The 17,583-nt window shown below is 54.4% G+C and overlaps 2 protein-coding genes across 11 annotated transcripts, besides 4 other annotated features; both read right to left on the minus strand.

The window, feature by feature from the left end:
• Window positions 1–487: 487 nt before the first annotated feature.
• Window positions 488–12,450, minus strand: ARID3C (AT-rich interaction domain 3C). Of its 3 annotated transcripts, XM_047422781.1 has the most exons (9): window positions 9,840–12,450; window positions 8,356–8,657; window positions 7,136–7,525; window positions 5,181–5,253; window positions 3,303–3,486; window positions 2,864–3,153; window positions 1,786–1,968; window positions 1,459–1,548; window positions 805–997 (listed from the first exon to the last, which is right to left on the minus strand). In XM_047422781.1, the coding sequence occupies exons 1-9, from the start codon at window positions 9,913–9,915 to the stop codon at window positions 897–899; spliced, it is 1,689 nt and encodes a 562-aa protein (XP_047278737.1). In that variant the 5' UTR covers window positions 9,916–12,450; the 3' UTR covers window positions 805–896. The 3 variants fall into 3 exon arrangements, with proteins under 3 accessions (NP_001017363.1, NP_001358874.1, XP_047278737.1); NM_001017363.4 differs by lacking the exon at window positions 9,840–12,450 and having other exon boundaries at window positions 488–997; window positions 8,356–8,505; NM_001371945.2 differs by lacking the exons at window positions 1,786–1,968; window positions 9,840–12,450 and having other exon boundaries at window positions 488–997; window positions 8,356–8,505.
• Window positions 3,633–4,181: an enhancer, noted in NCBI's record as "H3K4me1 hESC enhancer chr9:34624191-34624739 (GRCh37/hg19 assembly coordinates)". NCBI's record gives its function as "activates a minimal SCP1, AML or CMV promoter by ChIP-STARR-seq in naive and primed H9 embryonic stem cells {active_cell/tissue: H9 hESC(naive and primed)}" and the evidence as "EXISTENCE:reporter gene assay evidence [ECO:0000049][PMID:30033119]".
• Window positions 8,314–8,413: a silencer, noted in NCBI's record as "silent region_19851". NCBI's record gives its function as "represses an Ori minimal core promoter by ATAC-STARR-seq in GM12878 lymphoblastoid cells {active_cell/tissue: GM12878}" and the evidence as "EXISTENCE:reporter gene assay evidence [ECO:0000049][PMID:35858748]".
• Window positions 8,464–8,623: a silencer, noted in NCBI's record as "silent region_19852". NCBI's record gives its function as "represses an Ori minimal core promoter by ATAC-STARR-seq in GM12878 lymphoblastoid cells {active_cell/tissue: GM12878}" and the evidence as "EXISTENCE:reporter gene assay evidence [ECO:0000049][PMID:35858748]".
• On the minus strand, window positions 14,161–17,226 carry SIGMAR1 (sigma non-opioid intracellular receptor 1). Of its 8 annotated transcripts, none has more exons than NR_104108.2 (4): window positions 16,986–17,226; window positions 16,772–16,859; window positions 16,436–16,528; window positions 14,161–15,297 (listed from the first exon to the last, which is right to left on the minus strand). NR_104108.2 is itself a non-coding variant. In NM_001282207.2 (4 exons), the coding sequence occupies exons 1-4, from the start codon at window positions 17,134–17,136 to the stop codon at window positions 15,071–15,073; spliced, it is 612 nt and encodes a 203-aa protein (NP_001269136.1). In that variant the 5' UTR covers window positions 17,137–17,226; the 3' UTR covers window positions 14,161–15,070. The 8 variants fall into 8 exon arrangements, 7 of the variants coding, with proteins under 7 accessions (NP_001269136.1, NP_001269135.1, NP_001269134.1 ...); NM_001282207.2 differs by having other exon boundaries at window positions 16,659–16,859; window positions 17,046–17,226; NM_001282206.2 differs by having other exon boundaries at window positions 16,706–16,859.
• Window positions 16,976–17,465: a silencer, noted in NCBI's record as "silent region_19853". NCBI's record gives its function as "represses an Ori minimal core promoter by ATAC-STARR-seq in GM12878 lymphoblastoid cells {active_cell/tissue: GM12878}" and the evidence as "EXISTENCE:reporter gene assay evidence [ECO:0000049][PMID:35858748]".

Here is a 17,583-nt window from a genome sequence, read left to right on the forward strand (position 1 = left end):
ATGCAGGAAGTGACGCCATGATTCAGCCCTTCAGTGCCGGAAGTTACTCCTCGGAGCTGTCAAAAGCTGATTACCTTGGCAACGGCTCTGTCCCATCCCTCCCCTGGCTTCCAGTGCCTGGTTGTCAAGATAACCTTTGCTTTTCGGGTACCAAAGAGCTTTCCCCACGCCATTCCCTGAGTTTGCACGTGTTCCAGGATAGGTCCATTCCCATAGATACATCATTAGGAGGCTCCGTGAGTTACCATAAACTTTTGGAGTCTTCTAAGGTTCAGTTGATTAAGTAACTTGCCCAAGGCCACCCAGCACTATAGGGACAGAAACAGGACTTGAACTCAGGCTGTCTGATTCAAGAGACGGAGCTCTTCTATTCTCACGAAACTTTGCTATTCTGCCTTAACCTCTGAAAGCCCCTGGCCCAAGGCAGCCTATGTTCCACATCATTCCTCCCCACCTCCCATACCCAAACAAGAAAGGAGGCATCAGAGAGGGAGGGACCGCAGCTTTATTGTCTAGATGTGACCTGAGGGATGTCTCTTTCACAGTACCCCAACCCAACCTTTCACTTGGCTCCTGAAGAGAAGCAGGGCTGACTCAAAAGGGTAGGGTCCTAGAGATGACATTGACAGAGGGAACACATGAGGAGATGATGGGGTTACTGGAGGAAGAACCCTTTGGTAGGTGCTGCTGGAATTGGCCAGGGAGGAGGTGCCCTCCCTTTACAATGAGGTAGGTGTAACATCAAAAGAAACTTTGGTTTTAAGTCCACATGGCATGGGAGGTGTCGTCCCCTCCCAGGGCTGGGTCCCAGAGTGGGCAGCCAGAAAGAATCAAAGCAGGGGGTCTCCTCCCCCCTCAGCAATGGGGCTGGGACTCTTAGTTTCAAGTAGGACCTCTCAGGGCAAGATGCTGGAAGGGGGCCCTGTGGAGGGTGGGGGTGCAGGGTTGGTTGGACCCTGGGAAGCTGGCACAGGCTGGCGGCGGGCAAAGAGGACACCTGGCAAAGGGGTGAGGAGATGGTAGAGGGCAAAAACAAGCAGGAGGGGGTAGGGTATGGAAACAGAAGAGGGGAACAAAAGTAAGTGTTCTGGTTGCTAGAACACTACACACGTACCCCTGCCACAAACCAATGAGGACAAGCTCCTTGGGTCAGTAAGAGACTCCATTGCTAATGTAGATACCTCAAACAGGTAAACAAGGAATATTTATGCTGATACATAGGCCCAAGACAAGGCAGACATCCCCTGGTACTCATGCCAGAGAGGTCATGCCTTGGATCCCATGCCATGTAGACACCCCCTTTAACCCATGCCAGTCTAGCAATCCCCTGAACTCCATGTTACTCATGCAAGTTTAGATATCCCTGAACTTCATGCTAGTAGAGGAAGTCTAAAATCCCCATGCCAGCCTAAATACCCCTGACCCCATGCCAGTGTAGACAGCCTGCAGTACCCATACCAGTGTAGACCACCCCGTTGATCTCTAGGGCCATGTTGATACTGCTGATGCCACTGCCTGCCAGATTAAGAGGCCCATCCAGCCGCTCTTCTGTCCAGGAGGGGGCAGAGGAATCACATTTTGGAGAATCAGACTTCTGACTTATTAATAGAATTTCCCCCCTCCATCCCCGTAGACAGCCCCCATTCCACTTCAGCCCCACACCTATACTCACACAGTTGTCTACAGAGGAATCTGTCTGCCCCGTCTCTAACACCTATCAGGTGATGGGTCAATCCTCCCTCAGTGTACAGTCCCGAAGCCCCCTCACAACAAGCCCCTCCTCACCCCTCAGGGGAACCTTGCCACGGGGCAGGAAACTGGGGGGCATGCAAGGTCGAGGTGGGTCCATAGGCCCCATCAGCACAGCTCTCTTCTCTGGGGGCTCCTCTGGTGCCAATTTCTCCCGTGTAGGTCCCAGTGCCAGGCCCACAGGCAGTGCCAGACAAGGGTTTGGAATTCCACTCTCCTCTAGAAGAACAGGTTATTCAGCTCCCCTGGCCAAACCAACCCATCTCTGCATTGGTTCTCCCCCAGGCCTGGGACCAAAAGAGGTAACTCAAGCTCATGTACCAATCTCTCATCCTTCATTCGATCTATCTTCCCATCCAGAGCCTCAGCCTGGAAGCGCTGAAGCTTTTCTCTAGAGCCCAAAGGATCAAGGTACATGTCTAGACAATTTGGGGGATTGTTTTTGGCTGTTGGTTATTAAATAATCCAGGTCACAAGAGGCACAAACTATATGCAAATAGGAGCACTGGGTGGACATGTGTGGAATGGAGTTGCTGTGATTAAAGGACCTTTTCCTGGCCGGGCGCGGTGACTCAGCCTGTAATCCCAACACTTTGGGAAGCGGAGGAGGGCGGATCACGTGGTCAGGAGATCGAGACCATCCTGGCTAACACGGTGAAACCCCGTCTCTACTAAAAATACAAAAATTAGCCGGGCATGGTGGCGGGCCCCTGTAGTCCCAGCTACTCGGGAGGCTGAGGCAGGAGAATCGCTTGAACCCGGGAGGCGGAGGTTGCCGTGAGCTGAGATCGCGCCACTGCACTCCAGCCTGGGCGACGGAACGAGACTCCGTCTCACAAAAAAAAAAAAAAAAGAAAAAAAGAAAAAAAAGGACCTTTTCCTGAACTTCAGCCCCTACACTTCAGTAACCCGTACCCCAGAGCTCTCATTTGGCCGCAAACCTCAGGACCCCTAAACCTTAGTGACCCCCAAACCTCAGAAGCCCGTCAGACCTTACTGCTCCCATACCTCAATGCCTCCCCAGACCTCAATCCTCACATTTTAATGGTTGCTATATCTTAGCGCCCACCTAAACCTCAGAGACCCCGAAACCTCTACCATTCTCCCCTCGCACCTTTCTTAATAGGGCTTGGACTCAGCTGAGCGCATGCATGCGCTGGCAGGCCGGAGGTGGAACCCTGGGCTGGGCCAGGGCTGGACTGGGTCGCCGGAGGGGCGGGGCCGGGACCCAAGGCTGGGTCCTGAGCGCCCCGAGGGGGCGGCCCTGCCAAGCCGAAGAGCGGAGTAGCGGTGTAAGCCTGGCGACGGCCCTCGCGCCGATTGCTGTCTATGGCGGCCTGGAGCTCCCCTGGGGAGCTGAGCGCTCGAGTCTCGCACTCGTACGGGTACAGGTACTTCATGTACCTAGGGGCGGACAGCGGGCGGTGAGTGTATGGGAGGCTGCACCCAGCTGGTCAAGTCCCACAGCCGGACGCCCGCCCGGGGACCCTCCCCCCTCCCGCCCCAGGCCGAACCCGTGCCCCCTTCCCTTCCGCTCCCGCCCCTGGCCTCACTGGGTGCGTAGAGTGAAGGCGGCCGAGGTGATGGTGGTGGGTAGGCTGAGGCCGCGCGTGACTTCCCGCCACACTTTGCGGTTGATGACTTCCACCAGGCCGCCCTTGGCGGTCACCAGGCGAAACAGAGCGTACAGGTCGAGCACCTGCTTCGCCATGATGGGCACGCGGTTCACTGGCGTCCCTGGTGGGGAGCGGGCTGCCGTCAGGACACTGAGACGAAGACCCTGTCTGCAGCATCCCCAGGGACTGATACAGGACGGGAGCCCCGGGGAGGGCGGGAAAGAGGGAGACTTGGGCGGAGCCCACAGAACCCCAGGGTCTCTGTTTTAGCAAGAAGGACAGGAGGCTAGAACGGGGGGGGGCAAAGTTCTGTAAAAGGCCAGATGGCTAAATGGTCTCTGTCACAACTACTCAACGCTGTCATTGTAGCCTAAAGGCGGCCATAGAGAATACCTGAAGGAATGGATGCGGCTGTGTTCCAATAATATAGACTCTGAAATTCGAATTTCACCAGTCTGGAGATGTTATTCATCTTTAAATTTTGTCCCCCAACTATTTAAACAAGTAAAAACCATTCTTATCTTGCAGGCAGCTGGGTTTGGCCTGCAAACTTTAGTTTGCTGTCCCCTGGGGTAGACCGCAGGAAGGACTTTCGGACAGTGCTGAAGAGCCGGCCTCCCCTAAGCAGCAGCCCCCGGGTGGCTGCCCAAGGCTGGGGGATGACGGGCGGGAAAAGAATCAACTCCCGCCTCGGCCCGCCGACTCCGCAGCCCGCGCCGCCCCCGCCGGCCAGTCCTGACAAAGGGGCCTGTCTGCGCTGAGCGATGGGCCCCAGTTAATTCCTTACCGATCCCGTCCCCTTCCGCCGCGCCTTTGGACCCGAACAATTAGCTGCGGCCTGATTAATGGGGGAAAATTATCGGCCCCGCGGGACCCCCTCCCCCTGCAGCTGGAGCGGTGGGAGGCAGGGACCGAAGGGAGGCAGGCAATGCTGGGATCGGTTCACACCCGCTACCCCAGTGGAGGGGAGGCCTCGAGGAAGGGCCAGAGAGGGAACACTGGAACCAGAATGGGCCTCCCTGGGAACCAAAAGGACTTAGGTCCCTACTGAGGGTCCCTGGGAAGGTAAGGGACCAGAAAGAGGTGCTGGGGTGAGGGCCGGGAGTGGGAAGTGGGCCAGCAGCTGCACTAAAGGCGGTGGGGGGGCGGGGGGTAACAGGGCAGCCAGTTAATTAGCGGCTTATCAGGCTGCGCTCTGAGTGAGTTAATTAGCTTTGCAGAGAGAGATAATGAGTCAGTGTTCGGTCCCATGAATCTGGGAAAAAGCTGAAGTGATGGACTGCCGCCCACCCTGATGCCCTCCTGGACCCTTCTTGCGTTCTCCTCCAGCTCTGACATTCCTGGAAAGGAATTTCTCCTCCTCCACAGCCTCAACTCACATAGTCCCCAGCCCACCCCTTGGGAAGTCCTTCCTTCAGTCTATTCCTAGTCCTTCCTGCTGTAGAGCACGTGAGGTGTCCCCTGCCTGAATCAAGGGAAAACAGGGAAGACATGGCTGGAGGAAGGACCCTGGACACAGAACCAAGGCATTCTCAGCCCTCTGATTCTGGGACCCTCCCACCCCAGGCCAGGCTCCCATCAGTTCCCCCTCCCACCCTCCCAATTGATCCCAAACTCATTAACCTGCCAGTGGGCTGGCCACTAATTAATCCTGGGGTGGAGGAGGGGGACAGGGTCAGAGGTTAAAGACGCTATCGAGGGCCCAAAGGACAGGTGCTGCCAAGCTCAGGCCTCAGCAGGGAGAACCCAACCGGGTTTCCTCAAACCTGGTAAGGGGGCAATTCCAGGGCCCTTCCCCCACATCATGCCACTCACCCCTCTTTTGCATGAAGCTAAACAGGTCATCCAGAAATTCCTTCCTCTTGGGGTCTGCATCGAGCTCATACAGCTGGGGAAGGATTGGGGTCATTCTACAGCTCTGCTGACTCCCCCTCCCTCCCTTGACCCCAATTCAGGTTGTACCCTGAACAAGGGTCCCTAGCTGAAGGAGTCAGTAGGATCTCAATGTGGACTCCCTGGGATTAGCATTAGGCTCTCTCCGCCTAGGGGCAGGCAGGGGTGCCTTTTTCTAGTACATACAGAGACTGGTACTGGTAGTGGTACCCTGGGCCATTCAAACCACCCATCTGGGGAGTAAGGGAAGAGAGGAACAGGATGGAGCTTGGAGGCTCAGCCTGCCCTCTGGGGCTCAGTCTTCCCCCACCCTCATGGGAAATTTAGAGCCCCAGGAAGGAAGCTAGGCTGGGGTTGTATACCAGACTGAGGAGACAAACATATATCTGATGCTCTGATTCATTCATGCAAGGACTTCATGGTGTTCACATCCCTGTATGCCAGGGCTGGGGGTGACTGAAGGGCAGAGATGCTCCTAACCCACCCCTCAGGCAGGGTGATGCTCAGAAGCTCCTGGGTTGACACCCAGGGCCCTTCAGCTCATCTTCTGGTCTGATTTCCTTTCAGAGGCAGTTAACCTGCCTACAGACGCTGCTATAGAGGCACTGGCCCTGTACCACCTAGGACCTGTGGGGTCAGAGTTTAAAGGATCCACAGGCCATCTCAACTCTTCCTGGTAATCTGGAGTCCCACCTCCTGCATCAACTCCCGAATACTAGTCAAGAGAACCACCCCTTGAGTCACTGACCCAGAGTAACAGTCCTTGAGTAACACCTATAGATAATATTCCATCACTCCATCCCCATAAGAATCCTCAGAGTATAAAACAAACAAAATATCCATGAGTAATAAACCCCAGATCCACCTTTAGAGCCACATTCCCACAAAAATTGAGCCCTAAGTCTAAGATGTTATTACTTAGATCCAAGTAATAACCCCTAGAATTATACCTAGGAGAAACAGTCTCTAGACCACATATCCAGAACAGAGCCCTGAGTAACACTCAGTTTTATACTAATGCCAGAGTACTAGTCACAGATCAACACTTTTGGAATATACCCAGACCAACACCCTACAAGTACCAGAATAGCACACCTGGAGACACAGCCCTGTGTAACACCTTCATAGTGACAGCCTTGAGTAGTGTCCTTAGAATAACACCCAGAAGGGTTCTCCAGGGAGAAAGAACCTCAGATTAAGGCCCTGTGAATGAAGTCTTGTCATTCTGAGTTGCGGAGGAGCCCTTTAGTCATACTGCGGCTGTAGTGGCCATCCCAGGCTGGGAACTATCATCCGTGGAACTCAGGCCAGGGAGATTTGCATGGGGCCAGGGTTAGGGAGGAGGTGACAGGAAAGAAAGGAAAGGTGTATCAGCCTGCCAAGTGAGTGATAACCTCCATTCTGCTTCCAAAGACAGAGGAAGCAACTGGGTCACCCCCACTGGTCACTGGAATATGACCTTGTGACTTGATGTGTGAGAAGGTAGGCAGGGTGGTGCTGGCATTGGAATCCCCAGCCCCTAGACTGCCTTCCCTACACCTGGCTGGGCATGGTGGCTCATCCCTGTAATCTCAGCACTTTGGGAAGCTGAGGTGGGAGGATTACCTGAAGTCAAGAGTTCGAGACCGGCCTGGGCAATACAAGAAAACCTTGTCTTTACAAAAGAAATTTTAAAAAATTAGCCAGGCATCTGTCTTTCCCTCCCTGTCACTATCCTCCAATCTTCTCTCTGTCTTTCTATAGGTCTCCGTGTCTCTGTGTCTCTTTTCATCTTGCAGAGGGTGGTGGGGGTGGGTGGGCTGCTAATCACCTGGCTGTGCTTTTGCCAGAAGAGAGAGATAGGGAAGAGGGCCGGACATTGAGGGCATAGGTCCTACCTGCTTGAATTGTTCCTCGTAGGTCCACTCGTGGGGATGGAGTCCAGGGGGCTGGCTAGAAGGCGAGCTGGGGCCCTGGGCCCCTGGACGGCTCTCCTCAGCTGCCTCCTCCTCTGCCCCGGCTTCCTCCCGCTTCTCCTCATCTTCTTCAGCATCTTCCTCTTCCTCAGCCCCAACATTCCCCAAGGCCCCCTCAGGGGCCTGTAGGGTCCGGTGGTCAGGCAGGGGAGGCTGCGGTGGCAGCAGCGGGCATGCAGGGGCCAATGGCCCCACCCCCTGGGCCAGCCGAGCTGCCTGCTGCTTCTGCAGGGCCTCCATGACAGCTTCCAGGCGCAGTCCCCCAGCTGAGGGGGTCCCTGGTACCAGGCGGGACCCCGAGGAAAGGGCCGCCTGTGGGGGAGGGAATTATGGGTGCTGGGCCCTACTGCCCCCAGAGCCCCCCAACACAGGGGGAGGTGGTCATGGATTCAGGGAAGTGCAGGGGTCACAAGGAAAGAGGCAGAAAGATGGCTTTCCCAGAGGTGAACAGAAACAGGACCAGACCCGGGGAATCAAATGGCCATTGACTGAGGACTGGAAGAGTGAGCAGATCAGAGAGGGTGACGGGGACCAAGAGACATCGGGAAATGGTGAAGGAAGGGAGAGAGAAAGAAAAGGAGAAGGGGGATGTCCGACAGAGACAATGACAGGGAGATGTGAAAATAGAGATGGAACAGGGTGACAAGGAGAGACAGAAGTGGGGTGACACAGAGACTGAGAGGGACCAAGATGGAGAGAGGCAGAGGTATCAGGCAGAGACAGGGTAGACAGACAGAGATGGAGAGAGATAGAATATTGGGTAGAGAGACAGGGAGGGTAAGAGAGGTAGAGGAGCAACAGATAAAAGACCTAAGTGACAGGTAGCTCAGAGACGGACAGAGACGGAGAGACAGAGGCGGAGATAGACAAATAGACAGGGGTTGAGATATAGGGAAAGACCAAGACAGCAGGAAACGGACAGAAGAGAGAGATTAGAAAGAGACAGTTAAATAGAGAGGGACCGACAGAGACAGGGACGGGAAAAACAGCCGGAGAGAGGGGCAGAGGACAGGGACCAAGGAGTCGCGGGGATGGAGGGCGGTGGGGCAGAGCCTGGGACGGGCACGGGACCGGACGGGCAGGAGGCGGCAGAGTCGCGACGCCCGGCTCCCTCGCTCCGGGCGCCCCGCGGCCGCACTCACCTGCCTGGCGTGGCCCGCTGCCCCTGGCGTCTCCACGGCGCTGCCTTTGCTCCGCCCGCCTCCCAGGCGGCCCTGGCCTCGGCTGGGTCCCGGCGGTGCGCTCCCGCCGCCCTGTGCTCCTCTGGCGGCTGTGCGCTCACTCGCCGCGCTGCTTGCGGCGGCCGCGGGGGCGGGACCCGAGCGGGGCAGGGCGGGCGGGGCGCATGGGGAGAGGCCCCTGTGGGATCTGCCGCTCTCAGCTCCCCAACAGGTGTCTCCCACCTTCTTTCCAGCCAGCTTCGGGGGCAGGGGGCGCTGGAAAGCTGCGGGGGAATCGTGCGAAAATGAGGGCTCTACCGCCACCGGACTCCGGACCAGAGCCCCGCCCAGCCTCACAAGTCGTGCCCCCGACACCCACACTCGGCACTGGGCTTCCACATACAAATAGCCGCATCCACACACCAACACACCTTGTCACAAGTTCAGGCGCATAGCTTCCCAGTCTCACACGTTCCGTGACATGGTCACCACAGTGCCAATGGCCTGGGCACGCTGTGATCAAGAGGGGAATCCCTCTGCAAGATGCTGGGGTGTGCGTGGAGGGTCTGGTCAGAATAGAAGCTTCTCCCTTTGCCTTGAGCACCCCTGCCCTGCCTACGTGCTGTCCCCCACTGCGGGCATGCTGCGGTTTGCACACATGAGTGCACATGGTGGTGGACCCACACCTATGCACTCACACACTCTCAGAGGTCTTTAAGCTGACTGCACACTCACCGCATGCAGATACACAGCCACACACAGTTTTTGTCTCTTTTGACATTCTATTATGGAAATTTTCTTTTCTTTTCTTTTTCTTTCTTTTCTTTTTTTTCTTTTTTGGAGACAGAGTCTCTGTCACCCAGGCTGGAGTGCAGTGGCGCGATCTGGGCTCACTGCAGCCTCCGCCTCCCAGGTTCAAGTGATTCTACTGCCTCAGCCTCCCGAATAGCTGGAATTAGCTGGGATTACAGGCGTCCACCACCAGACCCGGCTAATTTTTGTCTTTTTAGTAGAGATGGGGTTTCACCATTTTGGCTAGGCTGGTCTCGAACTCCTGACCTCAAGTGATCCACCCACCCTGGCCACCCACAGTGCTGGGATTACAGGCATGAGCTACCGTACCCAGCCTGTATTATGAAAATTTTGAAACATAGACAAGTGAATAGTATAATGAACCTCTGGTACTCATCATAGGTTTGTTTCAACAGTGACCGGCACTTCGCCCATGTTCACACACATTCTCCACCTATGTGTGCCTGACTGCCACATCTGTATCTCCAGACCCCCTCAGCCCACTGCTTTGCGCCCTCCCCCTAACTATTCCCAAGACGCTGAAATGCTGTTCCTTATTTGGGGGTTCTGAGTGGCAGGCCTCTCAGAATTTCTGCTCTGAACAGCCTGGACCCCACTCCTCCCGGGAATCCTCATACTTCCTATTTCTTCCTGTGCCCAAGGGGACCACTTACCAAACAGAGGGACACTGTGAGGTGATGCCAAGTGTGTAAGTGAACAGCAGGTGTCTGTAGGGGTGACACTTGGCATAGGTATGAAACTGTGGCACCAGAGACTGTCTTCTGACCTCACACCCCCAGAAGGCAGGAATCCAAACACGACCTTTGTCTCCTCCCTCCTCCCTTGTCCTCTCCCAATCAGTCCACTCCTCTCAGCCTCAGCTTGCTCTGGCTCAAACCACCGGCTCTTCTGACCATGGTGGGTCTGACCATGGTGGGTGCCTCCTCCCTGCTCTCCCTGCCTCCAGCCGCCACCCTTCTCTGCACCCTTCTGTGCCCAGCTTCTACTGCAGCACTAAGTCCTGGTTCTCTATGGCCCATTCCTGGCCACGCTGAGGCTCACCCCATTCATTCCTTTGGCTGCCCCAGTGTCCTCCACCTCAGATTTCAGACCTCTGAGCCCATCAGAACCCCCCAGCCTCCAGAAGCTCCAGTGATCCAATCACTGTCGGTACTGATGCCTCCTCCCCCATGGCTTTGTTTGGTGTGAGTATCCTGGGGCAGAGCCAAGCCTCCTCCTCTGCCCAACCCTCCCTGATGCTGGGAGGGGAGAATCAGTGAATGTGCCAGGCAGACAGACATGCCCTGGAAGTCTACTGGAAGACTGGAGAGCAGAGGGTAGCAATCCACAGAACCCTTGTGCCCTGCTTGCTCCCTTTTCCCCACCACAGCTTCCCCTGGCTGCTCAGAGGAGGTCCATGGACAAAGGTAGGTGGCCAGAGTCTTCCTAGAAAGGTAGGAATTGGCTTGGGGAAATTCCAGTTCTGAGTGTTTGGAGATCGCTTTGTAGGGTTTGGGTTGAATGGTAAGGGGCTGGGCAGTCACTCCCCCAGCTCCCAAATCAATCAAGCAAAGTTAATCCACTTTTGGGGTCTGGGCCAGGAGGGCTACAACTGGGAAGGGCTGAGGGGAAGGAATATGCTTGACTGGGACTTGGTTTATCTCTCTTCATCTGTGAAAAGGAAAGGCTGCCTCTCATACCCGCAGTCTGGTCTTATACCTCACAGAGACGGAGACAGACCTAGACCTTCAGAGACCCATGCTTCATTCATCCAACACATATTTATTATCTATTTTTTTTGCCAGGCACTGTTGGACACAGGAGCAAATAAGACAAAGTCCTTATTATAATGGTACAATTCTAAGTGGGGGAAATATACAGTGTGTCAGATAGTGGTAAGTACCATGGAGAAAAATGTAGCTGGGTTGGGGGGAACATAAAAGGGGGCATTAGTTACCTATTGCTGTGTAACAAATCACCCCATAATTTAGCAGCTTAAAACAAAAACATTTATTTTCTCACAATTCTGTGGGTCTGGATGGTTCTGACTCATTGTCCTCTAAGGTGTTGTAGTAAAAAGGTTGGCCAGGGATGCAGTCATCTGAAGGCTTGACTGGAACTGGAGGATCTACTTCCAAAATGGCTCACTTGCATGGCCCTTGGCAGGGGGCCTGTTCCCCCCGCAATATGGGCCTCTCCATAGGATTGCTTGTATGTCCTCTCAACATGGCAGTTGGTTTCCCCCAGAATGATCCAAGAGAGACTCTTTAGACAGCAATGCTTTTTATGGCCTAGTCCTAGAAGTCACACACTGTTATTTATGCCACATTATTTGTGAAAGTACATAATTAAGTCTAGTCCACTCAAGGGGAAGGAATTTAGGCTTCACCTCTTGAAGGACAGAGCATCAAAAATTTTGTGAAGGTATTTCAAATCACCATGCAAGAGATACTATTATATAAGTGTTGAAGAACTCAGTGAGCAGGAATTGAAGGAGGGGAGGAAGAGAGCTATGACTACGTGGATACCTAGGGACGAGCACTACGGTCAGAATAGCAGGTACAAATATCCTGGGATAGAATTTTGCTTGATGTGTTGGAAGAAAAGCAAGGAGGCCACTGGGTTGGAATAGGGGGGCTGAAGGGGTGAGTGGTTGGAATGTCTGATCAGAGGAAACATGGGCCTTGGAGTAGGCCCTTGTAAGGAGTGAAAGGACAGAATGAGATGGAAAGCCACTGGTTAGGTCTCAGCAGAGAGTGAAAGTCTGACTGGCTGCTGCGTGGAGAACCCTCCACACAAGATGCATGCGTGAAGATCAGTTAGGGGGCCATTGCAATAGTCTATAGGCAAGAGATGATGGTGTCTTAGACCAGGGTGGGGGCAGTGGAGGTGAGAAGGCATGATTAGAGTCTGGATATATTCTGCAGATAAAAACAGTATTTGATGATGGATTGGATGTGGGACATGAGAGAAACAGATGTGTCCAAAATGACTCTGGGCAGCTGGGTAAATGGAGGTGCCCTTAATTCACAGTAAAGACTACAGGATGGTGGTGGTGTGGGGCTGGGAGAGAATTCGGTTTGCTTTGGATATCTCAAGTCTGAGATACCTATTAGACAGCCAAGTGGAGATGTTGAGTAGAGATGAAGGCAGTAAGATTTCCAACTCTGGTGCTCAGGGCAGAGATTTAGGCTGAGACAAAAATTTAGAAGTCAAGATATATAGATGGTAAAGTCACAGAATCACCTGGGAAGGGGTGTAAACAGAAGAGGTTTGAGGACTAAGCCCAAGAAAGTCAGAGAATGAGGAGATAGGAATCCAGTAGCTGGGTGCAGTGGCTCACACCTGTAATCCCAGCACTTTGTAAGGCCAACATGGGCGGATTACTTGAGGTCAGGAGTTTGAGGCCAGCCTGGCCAACGTGGTGAAACTCTTGTCTCTACTAAAAAAAAAAAAAAAAAAAATTCCAGTAAAGGAGGCAATTAAGGAGGAGTAGTGTCCCAGAAACTAAGAGTGCCTTCAGAGTGATTACCCTGTGTCAAATGAAAGCTAAGAACTATGAAACGACCAACGGATTTAGCAGCAGAGATTAGGAGGGGCCTGGGAGCCTAGTCCTTTGTGGACGTTTGGGAGGAATGACAGGGCAAGCTGGGTCATCCCTGACATGTGGGCTCTGAGCCTAGAGGCAGAGCTGGGTTACAGAGTAGGAATCCCCCAGGAGGCATGGATTTGCAACCTGGGGTGAGTGGAGAGGAGCCAGCCAGGGCCTACTATGCCTGACACGGTGGTATTGGGGGTGAAGAGTCGGTTTCAGGTTGGCCAACTTACCTGGACTCCACATTCAGTCACAAATTGACTTTTGATGTTGTTTCTAAATGCAGTTATACATATAGTCTTTCGGATTTGTGTTCTTTAGAATGTTAAAATATCTAATTTTTATAACCATGTTTCTTCCATTTTTAAAATACCAGGAATCCTGAGAAGCAGGAGTGATCTATGCCTTACCCTCAGAACAGGGCCAGGACGAGGGTGAGGCATGCTTGGTGTGTAAAATGCAGAAGTTAAGGCAAGAGCAGGGTCTTTGGGAATGAATGCACTTTAGGCACCTCTCTTGCCTTACCTGAGTCCAGGCCCTACCTACCTCACATACTGCCAGGTAGTGTGCCTTCCTTTCATTGTGGGAGCCTCCACATTAGTGGTGGGTCCTGGAGAAGGCAGACCATAGACTGGAGGATCTCCTGTTTTGGGTGGGGGCAGACACTACTCTGGGAGCCCAGAAAAAAAGCCAACTGAGAACTATGCCTTTCAGCTAAAAAGTGGGTGCACACTGCCACCCTGTGGTCAGCCAGGGGAAGATTCTTAGGACTGTTCCCAGGATTGCACCGGCAGAGGTAAGACCAAGACACACTCCAGGTCACCCTGCCCTGAATTTCTCAAATTGTGGCATTCGCAGCTGTGTTGGAAGAAATCTTATTGAACATGTTGATCTCTGGCAATGGAGCTCAGTAGTCTGAGTTACTGACTCAAAGAGTGTCTTAGGTGATTCTAAGGCACACTCAAGTATATAGTCCCTACTAGTCAAAAGCCACTGTCTTGTCAGGCATGGTGGCTTGTTTCTGTTATCTCAGCTACTCTGGAGACTGAGGAAGGATCACTTGAGGCCAGGAGCTGGAGATCAGCCGGGGCAACATAGCAAGACCCCATTTCTAAAAAAAATTTAAAAAGCTAACCAGGCATGGTGGCATTTGCTACTCATAAGGTCCCAGCTACTCATAAGGCTAAGGCAGGAAAATTGTTTGGGACCATGAGTTCAAGGCTGCAGGGAGCTATGATCATGTCACTGTGCCACTGCACTCCAGCCTGGGCAACAGAGGAGACCCCATCTCTTAAAAAAAAAAAAAAAAAATCTACCATGAATCACACAGCAAGAGAGAGATCTTCCTGAGGTCCCCAGGGGTCAGAGGCTTTTTCCGGCTGCTCAGACACACAAAAAGATGGAACAGATCAACAAATCTTTATTAATAGAAACAGACAGATGGACAGAGAATGCAGCAGGGGCTGTGTGAAAACTGTGATATGTGTGTGTGTGTGTGTGTGTGTATGTGTTGTGTGTGTGTAAAAGGCCTTCTCCAGGCCAGGAAGGGCCCCTTGGAATTAGGCCCACCTGTCTAGATCCTCTCCTCAGTGGTGGGTCCTGGGCTGAAACCAGCTTCCACATCATACCCCCAAAGGAAGAATGGGGGTCTTTCTGGAATGGAAGACGCTGACTTCAAGCATTCTTCAAATTACTCTCGTTCCCCAGCTGAGCTTTGTTGCTGAGGGGGTTGGGGACAAGCCACAGGGGCACTTGCATAGCAGGGGAGTAGAATGGGGATAAGGCATATGGTGAGGACAGGGGAGAAGGGGAAGGGCATCATAGCTGCAGGTGAAGGGGGCCTCCAAAAGGCAGCTCCTCTTCCCCCTCATCCCCTCAAATTGCTGCTGGGTTGAGGAGTCAGACTGAGGCAGTATAATACCCTCCCCCATCCTTAACTCTAGAACCCCGGTTTGGTGGGGAGGAGGTGGGAAGCTGTGGAGCTATGGAAAGGCCTCAGTTAGTGAGTCAAGCTGTGATGTGTGTGTCTGAACACAACTGGCTCCCTTGGTATACCGGGGGCTCCCTCTCCAGATGGGTGTGAGTGCATGGTCCTACTGTACACACAGGTCTCAGTATCTATATGTGTCTCATTTGTTCCCATGGGTCTCTGTGTTTGGATACATAAGCATGGATATCCCTGCTCATACAGCAGGAACTCAGGATCTGCATGGTGTATGTCCCTGTCTGTAAACATGGGCTCCAGCAAGTGGATATGTGCGGGCCTGCCCGCTCCTGTCTATCCGCAGGTCTTCCTTCAGGCCTGGCTGGTCAAGGGTCCTGGCCAAAGAGGTAGGTGGTGAGCTCAAGCCGGAGGCCCCGAGCATAGGAGCGAAGAGTATAGAAGAGGGTGAGGAAGTCCTGGGTGCTGAAGACAGTGTCGGCCAGCGCGAAGGCCAGGGTGGATGGGATGACGCCCCGGCCGTACTCCACCATCCATGTGTTTGGCCCCCACTCCACAGCTGTTGCCTCACCAGGCCCGTGTACTACCGTCTCCCCTGGGGGACAGGGAGCACCCAAGTGAAAAGCCAGCTCTGCCCTGCCCTTCCATGGCTGCTGCTTCCCTGGCCCATGGACTAACTAGGGGTGGGGAATGGAGAGGGAGCTTCAGAAAAACAAAAAGCCCTACCTCACTGGGCTGGCCCAGATGGCCACTCCTAAATGTTCTGTGGCATCATCTGACCCACGTCCTCTCTTTGGAGAAGCCATGGACGGCTACCTCGCTTGGCCATGGACCCACTGTATGGAAGTCTGCACTCCCAAGCCTCACTCGAATCAAGCAGAAATTTAGCTAAACCTGGGCTGGGCTTGTAGCTAGGAAAGGGGTAGTTCCAGGACTTGTGAGGCTTTATCTGAAAAGTGTAGCTGTTCAACCACCATGCCTGCGATGCATACACCCAACCTCAAATATACTGGGAAGTCCAGTGCTCTATTTCTTAAGTAAATTGTTTCACTATTAAAAAAAAAAAAAAAAAAAAAAGGCAGGGGAGCGGCCGGGCGCGGTGGCTCACACCTGTAATCCCAGAACTTTGGGAGGCCGAGGCGGGTGGATCACGAGGTCAGGAGATCGAGACCATCCTGGCTGGTATGGTGAAACCCCGTCTCTACTAAAAATACAAAAAAAATTAGCCGGGCGTGGTGGCGGGCGCCTGTAGTCCCAGCTACTCGGGAGGCTGAGGCAGGAGAATGGCGTGAACCCGGGAAGCGGAGCTTGCAGTGAGCCGAGATCGCGCCACTGCACGCCAGCCTGGGCGACTGAGCAAGACTCCATCTCAAAAAACAAACAAATAAAAAGATAACTGTCTGTCTTGTCTTTTGGGGTATTGAGAGCATTTCTGATTACCCATTGTCTCCCCAACAGTTGTTGGAATACTGTCTGGGCAAAATTGTGCCTGGGCAGATAAAAATCAGACATGTTTAATAGGAAGTTGTTATGTTTTGTTTCCCCTTGACAGAGGAAAGCAAGAGTCCCTCAGCTCTGCCCCAACCAATCACCTGTGGCTTATGGGAGGGTGGAGGAAGGGAACCATGAGGAGGGCCCCCCCAACACACTCCTTTTCCATGCCATGCTCCCCGCAATTGTGGGCACCCCCCGCGTGAAGGGACCCACTTCTCTGACAGAGCCTTCTTACCCACCTGGGTAGAAGACCTCACTTTTGGTGGTGCCCTCTCTCCACTGGTGGAAGGTGCCAGAGATGATGGTATCCGAGATCTCAGCCCAGTAGCGCCCTGAGTGACAATCGCACATGACACTATCAGGGTATTCGCGCCATTGCATGGCCCAGCCAAACATCAGAAAGGAGGGCATGGGCCCCTTTACAACCCCAGCCTCCCAGTCTGGCCCGCCGCTAGCACTGACCCGAGTGGCCGCGGGAGCCCAAGGCGGTGCCGAAGAGCAGCACATACTCGGACAGCGAGGCGTGCAGAAGGCACATGGCGCCCATCCAGCCACCCGCATTCACGAACACCCACTGCAGCTCCTCGTCGGGCAGCACGTGGCCTGGGTGCAGCCGCCGCAGCTCCACGATCAGACGAGAGAAGGCCAGCTCGTGGTCCAGCCCTGGCGGAGGCAGAGGGGCGGCGGAGTCAGGGCTGGCACCGGTCCTAGGTCCGGGGATGGCGCCTTCGGAACCCTAGGCTCCGCTCCCAGGCCGGCCGCTCCCCTCCCTGCCCTCTGCCCGCTCACCAGCGTACTGCCGCGCCAACTGCGCTATCTCTTCGCGCTGGAAGACGAAGCTCTGCGTACCCAGCCAGAGCCAGACGACCTGGGTCAGCACCGCTGCGACAGCCAGGAGCAGCGCGGCCCACGCCCACCGCCGGCCCACGGCCCACTGCATCCCGGCGGGCGGCCTGGCACGGCGCAGCTCAGGAGGGAGCCGGGGCCTGAGGCTTTGCGCTCACGGCCTCGGAGCCCGCCGGCTGCCCACGAAGCGCTCCCCCGCCACCGCCGTGGTACGGCTCGCCCTGACCAATCGGAGCGGCCCGGGCACCTTGGCACCGCCCTTCGGTTGAACCATTTCCTCGGGGGGAGCACGGAGGAGTGGGGCGGTGCCGCGCAAGGGAGGCAAGGGGGCGGGGCCAAGTCGCCCAGCGGCAGATGTCAGGGTCTTCAGGCGAGGTCTGACCTAGCTAGCGCCACTCTACATACGGATAGGTGTGGGGATAGTGAGACCCAGAATGGACGGGCTCGCCCGAGCTCACTGGCTGGTGAAGCAGACGAGCCCGGAAGTGAAGCCTTCTGGGACTCAACGATTGTTAAGGCCCGCCTTTACCAGGACTGAAGC

The sequence above is a fragment of the Homo sapiens genome, chromosome 9, assembly GCF_000001405.40.
Source record: "Homo sapiens chromosome 9, GRCh38.p14 Primary Assembly".
In the NCBI taxonomy this organism is placed as follows: Eukaryota; Metazoa; Chordata; class Mammalia; order Primates; family Hominidae; genus Homo; species Homo sapiens.

What these genes read in the sequence shown, in the direction of transcription:
- ARID3C (XM_047422781.1), bottom strand. Translation starts at nt 9,915, where the DNA reads ATGCCAAGTGTCACCCCTACAGACACCTGCTGTTCACTTACACACTTG. An exon ending in CAGCGGGCCACGCCAGGCAG is followed by an intron (nt 7,526 to 8,355) that starts GTGAGTGCGGCC and finishes CCTCCCCCACAG; the next exon opens with GCGGCCCTTTCCTCGGGGTC. An exon ending in TCCAAGCCCTATTAAGAAAG is followed by an intron (nt 1,969 to 2,863) that starts GTGCGAGGGGAG and finishes CTGTTCTTCTAG; the next exon opens with AGGAGAGTGGAATTCCAAAC.
- SIGMAR1 (NM_005866.4), bottom strand. Translation starts at nt 17,136, where the DNA reads ATGCAGTGGGCCGTGGGCCGGCGGTGGGCGTGGGCCGCGCTGCTCCTG. An exon ending in GGGCTCCCGCGGCCACTCGG is followed by an intron (nt 16,529 to 16,658) that starts GTCAGTGCTAGC and finishes ATTGTCACTCAG; the next exon opens with GGCGCTACTGGGCTGAGATC. An exon ending in AAGTGAGGTCTTCTACCCAG is followed by an intron (nt 15,298 to 16,435) that starts GTGGGTAAGAAG and finishes CCTGTCCCCCAG; the next exon opens with GGGAGACGGTAGTACACGGG.